Source organism: Homo sapiens, chromosome 15, assembly GCF_000001405.40.
Source record: "Homo sapiens chromosome 15, GRCh38.p14 Primary Assembly".
Lineage (NCBI taxonomy): Eukaryota > Metazoa > Chordata > Mammalia > Primates > Hominidae > Homo > Homo sapiens.
Window position 1 is genome coordinate 78,011,869 of NC_000015.10, and position 17,121 is coordinate 78,028,989.

The 17,121-nt window shown below is 44.3% G+C and overlaps 1 protein-coding gene across 16 annotated transcripts in view; it reads right to left on the reverse strand.

Annotated features, from left to right (window-relative positions):
- The window catches only part of TBC1D2B (TBC1 domain family member 2B), an 82,727-nt gene that overhangs the window by 16,884 nt on the left and 48,722 nt on the right, over nt 1–17,121 (reverse strand). For 13 of the 16 annotated variants that reach the window (XM_047432269.1, NM_015079.6, NM_001387142.1 and 10 more), the window contains 5 exons: nt 13,391–13,629; nt 12,288–12,671; nt 5,979–6,089; nt 4,678–4,871; nt 955–1,449 (listed from right to left, as the gene is read on the reverse strand). In XM_047432269.1, the coding sequence (XP_047288225.1) occupies nt 955–1,449; nt 4,678–4,871; nt 5,979–6,089; nt 12,288–12,671; nt 13,391–13,629 (1,423 nt within the window). The remainder of the gene's footprint in view (nt 1–954; nt 1,450–4,677; nt 4,872–5,978; nt 6,090–12,287; nt 12,672–13,390; nt 13,630–17,121) is intronic. The other 3 variants (NM_001387143.1, NM_001387149.1, XM_011521387.3) reach the window with 3 other exon arrangements.

Sequence of the window (17,121 nt, forward strand, 5' to 3'; positions counted from 1 at the left end):
ACTCCTGACCTCAGGTGATCCGCCTGCCTCGACCTCCCAAAGTGCCAGGATTACAGGTGTGACCCACCGCACACAGCCAATTTTTTTGTAGGGACGGGGTTTCACCATGTTGCCCAGGCTGGTTTCAAACTCCCGGGCTCAAGCGATCCTTCCACCTTGGCCTCCCAAAGTGTTGGGATTACAGGTGTGAGCCACTGCACTGGACCTTTATCCATATTTTTAACAAGCCTGCTTACCTACTTTCATTACACAGAAATATAAATGGACAACTGCAAGGACAGCAGTAAGCAGAAAGCGCGCCAGCCAGGTAAGAAGCAGTCACAGCAAAGTCCAGTGACAGGAAGAGCTTTGTGGGGAGCAAACCTCAGTCCTCCTGAGGTCTTGTCCCATCCCTGCACAGCTCAGGAGGATGAGCCTACATCACCCAGAAAACATGAGAGGCTTTTCGGCATCCTCTGCCTATGGAAGTAGGGAAGTAGGCAAGACCTGTTAAAAGTTCTAGTTTAAAAGGAAACAAGTTTAAGTCCATGAAGGGCTAAGTTTCAGTCAGCTGAATAATTGTTTGGGGCAACCTCTTGATTCACAAAAAGATCCTGTATACTGCATAAACAACGGGTGACCACCAATTTCCACTCCATGCATTACAAACTAATAAAATCAAACTTCTGATCAAAACCCGAGTGCGATGAGAACAAACAGGAAAAAATGAGACTCCAAGTAGTTTCAAATGAATTTAACTCTTGTGTTCTTAATACTTTCTAAAAGCATGCTTTTTCTCTCAGTTCTTCTAGAACTGGGGATATTGTGTAATGAAAACTGGCTTGCTGCAACTACTTTTTTCTCTTAAAATATTGACTTTTCTTGGCCAACCAGGAAGGGAGGGAGCTGCCAGGCAGCACCGGTGCCTACAAGTTGCCTAATGGCAAATGGGAACATTTTGTGCTGTGCACCCACCTGTTTAGGCCTTGACAGTAGCCGATATCTGGATTCCGCCAGGAGAAGGCGAGGAGGACATTGCGTAACTTCTGTATGCCTTCTGAGGTGGGGCAGGAGTAATGTTTGTTGTTGGGCAGAGTTCGCAGCAAGTCCAGCTCAATCTGCTTGGAGGCTGGGTTCTGTTTCTCCAGCGCCTTCTGCAGCAAGGTCTGGAAGTGGCCAGGCTCAGTGTTGTCCTTGAACTTCCTGGTGTGACGGTCCACACACCACTTCCACACCTTGGAACGGTGCTCGTGGGGAATGCCCGCACGGATGAGGTTTTTTAACTCTGGAGAGCACATCATCTCCCTGTTCACTGTACTTGCAAAATAGTTTTCCCACTTGACCCCAGTGGAGACTTCCTGGTTTTCTGTGAGGTAGAGAGTCTTCAGATCCAACGCGCGGACCTTGGCAACCAATTTCTCTTCCTCATCATCCTCAGGTACAGTCCTGAACCCATAAATATCATATTCACTGTTGATAAAAACAAAAGGAAAAATTAAAATGACAAAGTTTTAGCAACAAAGACCAATGCAACAGAAATAGAGAGTCTAGAAACCAAATCAGGCACACGTGGTACTTTGAACTATGAGAAGCATTTCAAATCAGTGAGGATATAATCGACTTCTCAGTATATAAAGCTAGGAGGACTGGCTATCTATATGCAAAAATTAAATTAGATATCTACTTGACACTATACAGGGAAAAAAAACAATCCCAAACAGTTTAACACTGAAAATATGAAACGCATGGAAGAAAACGCAGGCAACAGCACAAAAACAAGATTGATAAATTTGGCTACATTAATATATGTGTATGTTTCTTTATCATATATATACACTACATATGTATAACTTTATGCTTAAAAATATCATTTTAAAAGATTAAAAAAAAACAAAGAATGTATTTATAAGCTATTAGGGATAAGGATGTTCACGTCCCAGTTATTGGAACCTGTGGCTGTTTTACATTACATGGCAATAGGAATGTTGTTAATGGAACGTTAATGCAGTTAAGACTACAGAACTTAAAACAAGGAGATTATTTGGGATATCTGGGTGGGCCCAAATATCCTCATGAGCCCTTCAAAGTGGAAGAGTCAGTCAGAGAAATGTCAGGCAGGAGAGACGGGAGGTGTGAGAGGGGCTGGACCTGCTGCTGCTGCCCCGAAGATGGGAAAAGGGGCCACAGGCCAAAGAATGCAGGGGGCTCTAGAAGACGCCAACCACAGCTGACAGCCAGCAAGGAAATAGCGACCTAGTCCTACGAATGACTGCAAGGAACTATATTCCACCAACAACTTAAATTATCCCAGAACCTTCAGAAAAAAATGCAGCCCTTAATTAAACTTGGATTTTAATCCAATGAGACCCATGTTGGGCTACTGACCTACAGAACTATTAAGTGACAAATTTGTGTTGTTTTAAGCCACTATGTTTATGATAATTTGTTGTACCAGTAAAAGAAAACTACTACAAAGGCCTTTCACACACTGCTGCTGAGCGTAAACTTACTCAAGCACTTTGGAAATCAGATCTAGCAAGCAGAGTTAAAGGTATGTATTTTCTATACACTAGGAATTCCACTTCCAGTCTGCACCCTAGAGAAACTCTCTCACGTGGGCACATGGGAATATGGACCATGATGGTCCTTGCATCACTGTAACAAGGAAAAATGGAAAGAACCTAAATGTCCTCCATGAGGGGAAGGAATAAAGACACCATGGTAGATTCATACAATGATGTTCTACAAAGAAGGTAAACATGCTCAGTCGTGTGCATTTGTAGTACCAGCTATTTGGGAGGCTGATGTAGGAGAACTGCTTGAGCCCACCAGGAGGTCGAGGCCAGCCAGGGCAACAGACTGAGAGACCTCATCTCTTAAAAAAAATAGCTCAGGAGTAACTTGTATCAACCTGGATAATTTCAGAAAATAATGTTGAAGGAAATAAGTTCAAAATGATATGTATCTGGGATTAGTATGTAAAAAGGTATCATCAGTCAGAAATACACACTGAAGTATTTTACAGGTGGAATGACGTGACGTCTGGCATTTGCTTTAAAATATTCCAGAAAAGGCTGGGTGCGGTGGCTGACACCGGTAATCCCAGCACTTTGGGAGGCCGAGGCAGGCAGATCACAAGGTCAGGAGATCGAGACCATCCTGGCTAACACGGTGAAACCCTGTCTCTGCTAAAAATACAAAAAATTAGCCGGGCGTGGTGGTGGGCGCCTGTAGTCCCAGCCACTCAGGAGGCTGAGGCAGGAGAATGGCGTGAACCCGGGAGGCGGAGCTTGCAGTGAGCTAAGATTGTGCCACTGTACTCCAGCCTGGGCAACAGCGCGAGACTCTGTCTCAAAAAAACAAAATAAAACAAAACAAAACAATAAAATAAAATAAAATATTCCAGAAAAAAACTGTGGGGAGTGAGGAGGTAAAATGAAACTATATTGGCAAAACATTAACAATTGCTCAAGTTAGTTGCACACAGGGGTATATGTTACATAATTCTGTCTACTTCTTTGTATGTTTTAAATTTTCCATAAGAAAAAGTTGAAAATAAACCAATATATATGGTTATTTCACTTATATATAAAATTTGAACACACAATATAAATAGTAAGAGCACAAAACGCTTTTGCATGGGAAGAACACACAGCACGTTTAGAAGCGCTCCAAGAGCTCACAGAAGTTAACAGCCACCACGATGAGCAAAGCAGCAATGCCCAGCGTACTGGTGGAGCTACTGCACCTGGGAACCCGACTATCCAGGCTGAGGGCCTGTCCTCACCACTCACAGGCTGGGTGACTCTGGGCAAGTTATATCACTTCCATACTCCGCTTCTTCACTTGTAAAGTGAGGATAAAAACACTCACCTCACTGAACATTAAGTACAACTCTGCACATAAAACCCTTAGCACAGCTCCTGGCACATGGCAAACATCCATAAAAGTGTTTAGTAAAGATGGTGTTGGGTACTTTCTGAGCATATTTCTGTCATCTGAGTAGCCCAAACAATGCAGGCTGGTGCTGTAAGCTCAGAGAAGGGAAAGGTCATGTCAAACTGAAGCAAGGCTTCACCTGGGCCTACAGGGGTGGGGCAGGAGAAGCAAGGAGACTGCAGTAAGCAAGGCCTAGACACAGGGCTGGTCCTGAGTCGTGGAAACAAGAGGCTGAACTGCGTGAATCTGTAGATTTCTCCTGGTTCAAGTATTTCATGAGTCTCATATTTTTTAGAAGACAGGTTATGAGAGGGTTCTTAATCCAAGATCCATCATTGGCTTCCAGATTTAGTGCTTTCCCCAAAAATATATGGGGGGTGTGTGTGTGTGTAAGCTCAGTTCCCCACTTAAGGGTCCCTTTGTTTTGAACCACCTGTGGGTAGGGCTATGTTTTAGGAGAAGGTTCCTATTCCTTGGAAGACTGGCTCCTCCTGAAGTAAGGAAGGATCAGAAGGAAGGCTCCCTTACTTACACGAAAAATAGGTCTTGCAATCAGAAGACCTGTGGTAAGTCCCCGCTCTATGACTTGATTACTAGGGGAGAATGAAGACATTACCGTTCTGCTGACCTGACAGCATTTGTCATGAGCACCAAATGAGACACACAGTTGTGTACGGCTCTCTGCGAATGGTTCCTGCTGTTGAAAAAGGGACTTCAGAAATGGGGTGCACTACCCTCAACAGTCACTAGCACATTTACCTGACAAGATGAGGTTTAACAAATGCTTGCTCCGGCTGCTCTTGGCTCTCAACCTGCAGAGCATCCTCCAGCAACTGGGCTATGACCTCCCGGGTGGGCCCCTGGTCTTCTGAGCACACTGGTGTCTTCATTTCTTGGAGCAATATCAGGTATTTACTTTCTATCTGGCAGAGCTTGGCTTCCAGGCTAGAATACTGCAGAGAATGTGGTGGTTACCTCCATTCAGACAGAGACACAGGAAGAGCAATCTTTAGGTACGCAAATGACCAGTGAACAACAAACCCAAAACTATTAGGAAGTGAGCCAGAGACAGACTGTAGCAAAGACAAGAAATTAATTTATGCCACAGACCACCTTTCATGTTTAAAATGGCCTGCAGTGGGTTCCTCTCTTCCTTATAGAAGGAGTGCTGATAATCAGACCTCTGGATGCCAACAAATGCATCACCTCTGGACAGAGGTGGAGAGAGCAGCAGGAACCAGGCTACATGCCAATTACTGAGGTCCAGCTCGGTGCCATCTGGCACATGGCCCATGAGTGGCCACTCCATGCTATACCCATTCTTTCTTAGGACACTGTGGTCCAGGACTAGCTCCCATCTGCCACCTTATCAGACAAATCAAATATACCCTAGAAAACATGCAGGAATAAGGTCTGGGAAGATGCTTCAAGTTCTGTTCAAAAAAGTATATCAGGTATATAACAGCTGTTGACAAGTATCATTTGATTACAGCTCATTTGATGACAGCTGAAATGTTTGTGGTCCCATTACACTTTGTGCAAAGCCCCTTCCAGCCATAATCATATCTGACTTTCACACCAACCCTATTGGGTTCACAGAGGAGGCATTTACCTCACCATCTCCATAAATACAAAACTGAACAGCATAAATCAAAACCCAAATAATCTTAATTTAGGTGACCTTATAATTATGTACTTACTTTGTTTTCTTCAAAATCTATTAAAAATGCTTATGAACAAAGGTACACAAAGAAAGCAATACCTTATGTTCTTTTTTTAACTAGAGAAACTGAACACATTTTCTGTAGCTTCTCATTCTTACTTATCCAGTTTATGTGAAAAACTCACATCTCACGGCATTTATCTGTCTTCATCAGAGATAATAAAATGAGACTAACTATACAGCTCTATGTATTATATGTATTTTAAATATATTTTGTTATCAGTAACCACATCTCTCCAAGCCTGGGAGTTGAACCGCTTTGTAAAGCATGCTTATTTTTAATGGTTTCCTAACCTTACCTCCCACCAGGTAATAGAATCCACCTATCCTGACCCACCTTTGCCATCAGATCCCTCTCTCTCCTTTCTGCATTTCTTCGTAGAGCTGAGAGTTCCAAAATCTCCTTATTTAGAAATTTGTTTTGGGTTTTGTACCCCTGTAGATTATCCTGTTAGAAAAAAAAAAAATCCCTGAATTCACATTGGTTGAATATTGACTAATTAATTACCCTATGTAGTCAGTAGCTTGCTGCTTCACCAATCAAATAGCCCTGCTAAGTTAGAGTAAGTTCTAAAGAACTAGAAGTTGTTAAAAGGCACTTCCTAATTAATCTTTTTGGCCATTTACAGTAGTAGAAGGCAGGCAGGCATGACTGCCGTAACGGAGATGGAGAAGATATTTTTATTTAATTGTGGTAGTTTTTCTCAACTGATGACAGGAGAAATAAATATGACATATTCCTAAATCTATGCAAATATTTTATCTATCCATATTCCATATTCATTGAGGTGGTTAAAAAAAAGCAATACCTTACTTTTTTTTAAACTAGAGAAACTGAACATATTTTCTGAAGGTTCTCATCTTCACTTATCCAGTTTACGTAAAAAAAGTCTACATACATATACAGCCCATAACTAAAAATCACTCTTAATAACAAATCCTATGACCTAAAACGTATAAGGCACGTAAGAGAACATATTCTTCAACACTGAAAAATTTCAAACTTACAGAAAAGTTGAAAGAAAAGTACAATGAACACAATATAGCCTTCACCTAAATTAGCCAATTGTTAACCTTTGCCTATTTGCTTTCTGTCTATAAAAGAACATAACAAGCTGGTGACAAGTTCTGCCGAGTCCAACTTTGAGAGCAGGTCGGGGCAGGACACATGTCATATTGGCTTCAGCCCTTGAAACTCCAAGCAAGAAAGCTGAAAGGATCCAACAGCAACAAAAAGCAAACCAAAAAGGGGGTGAAGTGTTTTCATGTAAAACACTGAAAATGAAGCTCAGAAAACTTCCTTAGACTTTCCTAATAATAAAAACAATGAACTGAAGAAGCTGCTAAGGATACTAAACCGAATCACCTCTGAGCAGTGACTTCTAAATGTTCTTTACAAATTTAGTCTTTTATAAATGTGTCTCTTCTCCCCCAGCTTCTGTTTCTCTTTTATAATCTGACAGGCTGGTGTGTGAGGTTCCTAATCTCCCAGTCACAGAAGAAATTATGTTCAAGACAGCTCAAACGGCAGGCCAGGGTAGTCAAGACAGACTCTGGTGATATCACAAGCAGGAGACTGCTGCCGCTCCCCAGAGATGCGGCTACAGAAACTCCCCATCGCCAAACAAGAAACCACCACGGGATTATACCACTTCCCCCATAAAATGCAGAAGAACTGAAAATGGTTCAATGTTCCCTTTAATCACTAACATTTACGGAGCACTTGCGATGGGTTACAGGTGCCCCGTGCTAGGCATGTGAGATTCCTAATCTTGTTTAAAACTCCAACTCTTAGGCAGCCATTCTCACCATCTTTATTTTTGAGGTGAAGAATTGAGCCATAGAAAGCTGCCCAGTTACTGTCTAGCCTGCAAATCAGACTTCTGAGAGCCAGACCAGTGGGCTCTTAGCTCCATGGTCTCAGGCCCGACTCCCACTAGAACTTCGATAGGCATCATACTCAGCCTGAGCACATTCAAGTACTTGTCACGTCATGACAAGTACTTGAAATGTTGAATGTTGGACTTCCTTTTCTCACCTGAATCTCCTTTCTACTGGTGTCTTAAAAGCTTTTTTTTTTTTAAAGAAACAAGGTTGGCTGGGAATGGTGACTCATGCCTGTAATCCCAGCACTTTGGGAGGCCAAGGCAAGAGGATCACTTGAGGCCAGGAGTTTGAGACCAGCCTGGCTAACATGGCGAAACCCTGTCTCTACTAAAAATACAAAAAAAATTTAGCCAGACGTGATAGCGCACACCTATAGTCCCAGCTACCCTTTCTGAGGCATGAGAATCACTTGACCCCAGGAGGTGGAGGCTGCAGTGAGCCAAGATCATGCCACTGCACTCCAAACTGGGTGAAATAGTGAGACTCTGTATCAAAAAAAAAAAAAGGGGGGGGGAGACAGGGTCTCACTCTTGCCCAGGCTGGAGTGCAGTAGCATGGTCATAGCTCACTGCAGCCTCGAACTCCTGGGCATAAGTGATCCTCCCACCTCAACCTCCTGAGTAGCTAGGACCAAAGGCATGGCCACCACACCCAGCTAATGTTTTTTGTAGAGATGAGATCTCACTATGTTGCCCAGGCTGGTCTCAAACTCTTGGCCTTAAGTGATCCTCTTGCCTCGGCCTCCCAAAGCACTGGGATTACAGGTATGAGCTATTGCACCTGGCCAAAGGTCTCATATTTGGAAACATTAAGCAAACATATTACTAAAAGGCAGGTCAGCCAAAGGAAAGCTGGCTGGAGGGCAACTGAAGAAAGCACTCAACAGTGATGGATAGAGACTGAGTGATACAAGGTGGGGTCAGTGAAAGCAAGTAACATCAGCCGCCATGTATGTCTTTAACTTAAAACTTGTGTTACAGTCTAAGTAAGTCCTGATCATTTATATTACAGATACTTTCTCTAGAACGATGATGATCACAGCAACAACACCTAACAGTGAAGACCTTATGAGGAGCCAGGCACTGTGTGAGGGAGGGCTTTACATGGATTACCGCCTGTAACCCTCACAATACCTATGAGGAAAATAAGCACTATTTCACAGACAAATACACTGAGGCAGAGACATGAATTCACCTGGCCAAGTCAGAGGTCCTAAGTGGTGATCTGGGTTTGAATCCAACCTGGGCTGGCTCCAGAGGCCATGCTCAATGTAAAGCATCACCCCACGCTGTTCCACATCCCCTTCCCTCCTGGTGCTTGCTCCAGTTGTCATTTTGCTTTTCTGTTTGTGCCTCTAAACTAAACTGTGAGGCCCAGGAGTGCAGTGCCTGTGTACCCGTGCAGAGTAAAAGGGTGGGCACACAGCTGGATGCATAGATGAGCTGGAAGAAGGAGAAGCTGTAGGCACGGAGGTATTCATGGAACAGCAAACGCAGGAAGAAAGACAAGGATGAAGTAAATGATAACACAAAGGATGGACAACACTGAAATCGCTAATGAAAGCAATATGGAAGTGCTGGGGCCACAGTGTTGAATGGAACAATCCGAAAGTCCATACACTTCAAAAATGGAAGAATTACGGAAACACAGAAAAGGATTGGAAGGAAACATGGAGAAATAATGACTTAAATCACTAGGGTGGCAAAATCCTAGGACCAATGTTTATTCCTGCCTCGGAATACTATAGAAACAAAAAGCATTAGACCACACCAAAAAAAGTTAACAAATTCCAAATGGCAGAAATCTTTACAGGCAGCATCCACTGACAATAAAGCATGAAAACTGGTCAAGAACAGCAATAGCAAAAAAGATATATAAACATATCTTTAAAATTAAAAATATATAAAATATACTTTAAATAAATATATCTTAAATATATATATTTTTCCACTTAGACATTTAAATTTGGAATCAGAAGTAGGAATCAATATTTCTTCCTCAACCATACCCTGTCTAGAGCTGAAGGGCTATGAGGGAACACACACGAGAACACCCACTTCTGTCAGTGCGCTCCCTCTTTCTCCCTGGAGCCTTTCCAGTTCTCCCAGTGCCACTGCAGAGGAGACCTGCATGAGGTGTGAACACCTTCTGCATTGCAGAGGGACCCCCAGCACTGGCAATAACAGAGCAATGTCAGAAAGCATGAGGTCATGGACCCAGGCAGGCCTCAACTGTCTCACCTGGAATCCACCTAACAACCACTTTGCCTCTTCATCGTCTGTCGCCACATCACCTCACAATTGTGATATGTTGGGGCCACAGGCTTGTTAAGTTGTTAAAAATTGCTAAACTTGTTAAGTTGAGAAATGTTGGAGGAAAAAAACTTCATGGCTCAAAACCACTCCACCCATTATGCTGCAAAAAGAAAAGAGGAGGGAATGTCCTGTTCTGACAGCGCTGTATCCCGATCAGCTCCGTTAGCTGTCTACAGAAGGAGCTGCATAGTCGCCACAGCCACGAAGCATAACCTCCACGCACACCCTGGCTCGCTCCCCGGGAAAACCTGCTCCACACGTCTCCCCCACTGCCAAGTGTCACGCACGCCCTGGAAACCCACCACTATAGTATTGTTCTACGCACTACAGAAATAGACACACTTGCAAAATAAAAATTTCACCTGTCTGCTGGATGCAATGGCTCATGCCTGTAATCTCAGCATTCTGAGGCCAAGGCAGGCAGATCACTTGAGCTCAGGAGTTCAAGACTAGCCCAGGCAACACGGCGAAACTCTGTCTCTACTAAAAATATAAAAATGAGCTGGGTGTGGTGACATATGCCTCTAGTCCCAGCTACTCAGGAGGCTGAGGCTGGAGGATTTCTTGAGCCAGGGAGGTTAAGGCTGCAGTGAGCTGAGATTGCACTACTGCATTCCAGCCTGGGCAAAAGAGCAAGACACTGTCTCAAAAAAAATAAATACATAAAAATAAAAATTTCTGTTTTCATTAAGTAATCCCAAAATGTGTATTATTGATGGGTATATATTTAGGGTCATGTATATTCAATGTTGTGTACATTAAAAAACCCAACTTCCATTGGCAATGCTAACCAAGACCTCTTATTAAAAAAACAAACAAACAAAAACCACAAAGCCTATTTTTTTTTTCTTGCAACGGGGTCTCACTTTGTCATCCAGGCTGGAGTGTGGTGTGAGGATCTCCGCTCACTGCAGCCTTGCTCTGCTTTCCAGGGCTCAAGCAATCCTCCCACTTCAGCCTCTTGAGTAGTTGGGACCACAAGTGCAAGCCACCATGCCTGGCCATTTTTTTTTTTGTATAGAGACGGGGGTTTCACTATGTTGCCTACACTGGTCTCAAATTCCTGGGCTCAAGCAATGTGCCCACCTCAGTCACCCAAAGTGCTGCTATCACAGGCGTGAGCCACTATGCACAGCCAACTTTTTTTTTTTTAAATAGTAGATATAAGTGTAAAGTATTGAGACCAGAGGTTTTCTTGTTGTTTTGGATTTTCTCATTCATAAATCCTCTGGGCCTCACATATCCAATGGGTGTTGTCAGTGAGAAGTGGTCACTATGGGGACCATGTACATATTCCAGCCATGCTGCCATGATTCCGGTGTTTTTACTTCTGTTTTGGAATTATCTTCAGGGTCCCTAGCATGCCTATCATTCCCTCACTCAATGCATCGCCTGAAAGGTACTGCTAGGCATGAAGCAAATACTCAGTAACAACCTGGACAGCAGCAAACCTCTGCCCTCCAAGGACAAGCTCCATCCAGAGCCAAACACCCTCGGAGACACATTATTTGCAAGATGAGGGTGGCCAGGTGAGGGACGCCTTGGGGCTAGGTGAGACCAGTAGCTACAGACATGTCTGGGGTCTGCTGGGGTCAAACAGGCTATACTTGATGCCCCATGTCCTGGGGGCCACTTGTCCACCTAAAACCTCTCCCACAAAGTCTCAAGAACCGGTGGCAGCAAGAATGTTATGATCCTCCCTGTGGCCTCCCCTCTGAATCATTAGGCTTCTCTACAGGCAAGAAGAGAAATGCAGGCTGCCCCCACCTCTCACAAATGCTGTGTGTTCCTCCTACCGCATCAGCTGGTCACCACCCCAGGCATGACTAGGAGGGTCACTTCTGTTCAGGCAATAGCCTCCCAGCCTAAGGGCTAGCCCAGAGAAGGACACGGGGAGGAAAGCTGTCCTTCCTACTGAGTGTCAGGACCCTCCCATCTTGGGTGCTGGGGGCACTGACTCTGAACAGGCCCTCTTCCCAGGCCTACTTGGAAGCTGGAGTCCGCTTCCCCAGCTAACCCCATACTAGCTGTTAGGAGCAATGCTCCCAAACCAGGCATCCACTAGGTCCTGCAGCAAGCTGTGCAAATTAAGTTTGTGTGTGATTTCATGCACACAGGAGAGGCAAGAAACAGCCTCCATATGATACAAGGGATAATGAAGTACTAAGGGTGGTATATATAGAAAGAGAAGTCTTAGTTGCCTGAAAACAAGGGAGGGGAAGGATTTGAAACTGTTCAAAGCAACAGCAAGAGTTTCCTTTTCCAAGGAAGCTCCACAGAAGATTAATGATTATTTGATGGTAAGTCCTGTTACACTTGTGGGGAAAAAAAATAAGTGTGCAGCTGTTCTGCCGTCACACCAAATCAGCTCACGGAGGCCAGGCCTCTGGGGTGACATCGGTGGTCTCTCATGCCAATCACCAGAGCCCCTGCCCCACTCTTACTTTCAGCCTGTCCAGTTCCAGCTGGTCCCTGGCAACAGGCACAACCGAAGGGGAGCTGGGCGCCACGGTGGGAGGAGGCCCGTTGCCCTCGCCCTCGCTGAGCTTGATGATGACCTCGTCCTTGGCTTGGATGGTCTCCATGAGCATTCCCAGCTGCTCGTTGAGCTCGCCCACTTTGCTCTTCAGCGTCCTTACTTCCTGCTGAAGACTCTCCTTCTCCAAGCTGAACCTCTCCAGCTGGCTGGTAAGGCCCAGAATCTGATCATCCTTTTGGTGCAGAAGCTCGAGCGTGTCCTTTGGGACCCCCTCACAGAGCCGGCTGCTTGTGAAATACTTGTCATACTGGGATGACCGGACTGTCTGCTGGAGCAGTCGAACAAGCTCCTGGGAGCCAAAAGGAGAATGGAGTGAAGGGTGAAAAGAGCAAGGAGAGGAGGAAAAGCAGAAATCATGACATTACATGGAGTAATCGACAGAGTTTGAGGAAATGTAGAAACTTTACTGGAAACATTTTAATACTGAACTTCCTCTTGAAGGATCTCAAAAATAGAGGAAAAAAATATTTACTCCATAAAGACTGTCTGTAGAGAACAGTAATAGGAAACAGGAAATAATGGACATGTCCACTATAATTAGCAATGGTATCCAGTAAATGTCATGGGTATTAAAAAACCTGTGCTCTAAGAGTCACTGAACTGCTGAACAATTAAATGTAATTAGATCTGATTAGTTCAAGAAACCATTGTTGAATAGGATGCAGAAACTCTTTTTAATGACTGTTAAAGAACTCTGGGCTGAAACTGTGTTTAGGGAGATTCAACCTCAGGGGCAGGACTGGGCTGTGGTGCAGACAGCAACCTCCTCTGTCCTCCTTTGAGAGATCTTCACTCTCCTTGCAAATGCAAACACCTCTGAACCAATGATCAAGCACAGCAGCTGTGCCTAGATGACCGCCATGGCAATATGAAACCTCCAGGGGAAAAGCAACTCCTGGGAAACAAAGCTGTCCCCAGAAAGACTCAGGGAAACATAAATTGGGCTTTACTCCTCCCGTCCTTGGCCTGCTGAGGTGGGGTAAGACAGAAGCCAGAAGAAGAAGTTACCTTCTGACTGGACAGGTCTTTCTTTAACTGTTCCAGCTCTTCCTGCTGGCTCTGGACCTGCAGTTGCATTTCGGAGGCCGGCTTCCTGATGCTGACGCTGCCACTGCCTGATGTGCCTTCACTTGAAGGGTCACCACTGCTGTGACGATTTTTGTACGACCCAATTATGTCTTTCAAAGGGCGCTTTCCTTTGTAGGGGTTACGTCCAAAATCAAAGGGGAATCCTGAGCCAGTTACTCCTACATAAAAATAAAACTTGTATTTTATTATTATTATTATTATTTTTGAGACGGAGTGTCGGTCTGTCGCCCAGGCTGGAGTGCAGTGGCGCAATGTCGGCTCACTGTAAGCTCCGCCTCCCAGGTTCATGCCATTCTCCTGCCTCAGCCTCCCGAGTAGCTGGGACTACAAGCACCCGCCACCATGCCTGGCTAATTTTTTGTATTTTCAGTAGAGATGAGGTTTCACTGTGTTAGCCAGGATGGTCTTGATCTCCTGACGTTGTGATCCTTCCTCCTCGGCCTCCCGAAGTGTTGGGATTACAGGCGTGAGCCACCGTGCCCGGCCAAAACTTGTATTTTAAACAAAAACCACATCTTCCTTTTGGAAACTATAACAAAATAAAGCATCCCCACAAATCATCCTCCAGGGAGTTTGGCATTCACCACCTTAAGAACTACAGGAGATTGATGACTCTGCCCCCACTGCATTCTAGATAGTAACCAACATGCTTCAGCCAGAGATGATTGATTCCCCCCACTGGATCCTTCCTTGGAAGACTGTATCACAGGATCATTTTTCATGGAAAACTAAGACATACTAAGCATCCTATTTTTGCTAATTTGTCCTTAGCAAAAAAGCAAAAACACTCAAATGTATGTTGGTTTTTGTTGTTTTTTTTTTTTTAACATACAAACATTGCTATACTTTGAATGTGTCCCCCAAAGTTTATGTGTTAGAAATTTAATCCTCAATGTAACAGTATTGGCAAGTGAGGCCTAATAACAGGTGATTAGGTCATGAGGACTCTGCCCCTGTGAATGGATTAATGTTGTTATCACCAGGGTGGGTTAGTTATCACCAGAGCAGGTTTGCAATAAAAACAAGTTTGGTCCCCTGGCTCTCCCTCACCCTTGCCCTCTCTTGCTCTCTTTCTCTCTTGCCTTCCACCAAGGGACTATACAAAACAAAGGCTCTCCCCAGATGCCAGTGCCATGCTTTTGGACTTCTAGCCCCAGAACCATGAGCCAAATAAATTTCTGTTCATTATAAATTACTCAGCCTATGGTATTCTGTTTTAACAGTATAAAACAAACTAAGACATGCATGTTTTAAAGCATAACTAGATTCCCCTTCTTAAAAAATGGGTATTTGGGGACAGGCATGGTGGCTCACGCCTGTAATCCCAGCACTTTGCGAGGCCGAGGCAGGTGGATCACCTGAGGTCGGGAGTTCGAGACCAGCCTGACCAACATGGAGAAACCCTGTCTCTACTAAATATGCGTGGTGGTGCATGCCTGTAATCCCAGCTACTCAGGAGGCTGAGGCAGGAGAATCACTTGAACCCGGGAGGCAAAGTTTGCAGTGAGCCAAGATCACGTCATTGCACTCCAGCCTAGGCAACAAGAGCGAATCTCCATCTCAAAAAAAAAAAAAAAAGAGTATTCGGGAATACCGTCAGGCCAGGCACAGTGGTATGTACCTGTGGTCCCAGCTATTGGAGGCTAAGGCAGGAGGATAGCTTAGGCCTAGAAGTTCAAGGCCAGCCTAGGCAACACAGATACTCCATCACTAAAAAAGAAAAAAAAAATACTATGGGATCTAAATAAATTTTAGTGTAGATAGATTGAAATATATATACTCACATTATAAAGAGGAGACACAAGGGAGCATATAAGTGTGATTTATATAAAGTTAGGAAACAGGCAGAACCAACCTGCACTGTTAGGAATCAGTACAGTGGTTCCCTGGGGCGGGGTAGTGACTGGAAAGGGCACGGGGATGGCAGCTGGTTCCTAGGGTGCTGGCATCGTCCTCCTTCTTGAAGTGAGTGCTGGTTTCATGGGTGTATTCAATTTGTGACAATTCACTGAGCTATACATTTCTGATTTGGGGACTTTTCTGTATGTTATACATCAATAAAAAGTTTACTTAAAGATACGGGAAAATACAAGGAAGGGTAGTTCACTTTCTGTGAATAACATGGACAAGTTGGAGGGCTGATTATCGGAGCCATTTCAGGAAATACCCATGAAGAGAGTAAGATCAAAGTCTAGTGACATCTTTGTCTCTCCCTCTCTATCACATAAACTCCCCTCAAAGGGGATGAAGGGTTAGGCAGAGGGCTAAGAAGGCTGTCATCCGTCAAGAAAACAGTCTCCAAGGTGCAGGGAGTTTCTCCTCCCGTCCCAACTCACTAAGCACTCCCGATTCTTCCTCCCCAGTCCTGCTCACATTCATCCTTCTATTTCACCCTCAGTCTCTACTGGAAGTCACAGCCAACAGTACTTATTTTCAATAACCCAAATCCCCAGTTTTAATCTCTTTTTTTCCAGGTAGCATTATCAGCTCGTACTGAGCCCCTCTTCTGGGCACTCTCACTGGCCTTGCCATGCATTAGGTAATTCAGCACATTCAGTGTGGCCACATTCTACACCATGTCACACTGGGCCAGTGGGTTCTACACCAGGATCCTATGGAGCACAGGTAAGCTCCCTCTCACAGCAAATCATGACAGTCCTTTTCCAGGAGACAGAAAAAATATTTCCTTTCCTAAGTGCTTACTCTCGCAATAAAGGTTTCCTCAAATCCTGCACCCTATTCCTGCTGGCCCATGCTAGAATCAGGCATAAGGTGGAATTTCAAAATTACTTATTGTTATTTTATGTTTAAAACATCAATATTCTCCTAATGAATTAATAAATCTAGGACTGTGGCCAGGCACGGTGGCTCATGGCTGTAATCTCAGTACTTTGGGAGACCGAGGTGGACAAATCACCTGAGGTCAAGAGTTCAAGACCAGCCTGGCCAACATGATGAAACCCTGTCTCTACTAAAAATAAAAAAATTAGCCAGGCATTGTGGTGGGCACCTGTAATACCAGTTACTCAGGAGGCTGAGGCAGAATCGCTTAACCCGGAAGGCGGAGGTTGCAATGAGCCGAGATCGCGCCACTGCACTCCACCCTGGGTGACAGAGCGAGACTCCGTCTCAATAAATAAAATAAATAAATCTAGGATTGTAAATGAATGTTAAAAGCATCAGGCAAAAAGGCTGATGGAGAATTTTATGAATGAATCAAGATGACAACGCTAAATCCTGATCAATCTTAATATCAAAAGAGAGAAACCAGACATGATGTGGCTTCAGATGCGATACGATAGGAAGCACGCAGCATCTCCCCACCAAAACAGCATTCCTGTCGAATCAGAAGTCAACCCTGAATCTGGGCAGGCCTCCGGCTCTAACTGCCCGTATACAGGAATTACATGGGACAGAGAAGCATGTTAAATGACCCCACAGAAATACAATCAGCAAACCCAGATGTGGGAGACTCCTCAGCACGAAGACCTGGTTTCTTCAACAAATGTGGCAAAGGAGGGGGAAGGGAAAAAAAGCCAGGGAGCTGTTTAGATTAAAAGAGACCTAAGAAGACATCAATTAAATACAATGTGTGGGTCTTGTTTGAATCCTCATTTGAACAAACTGGCTGTAAACAGACACTTAGGGAA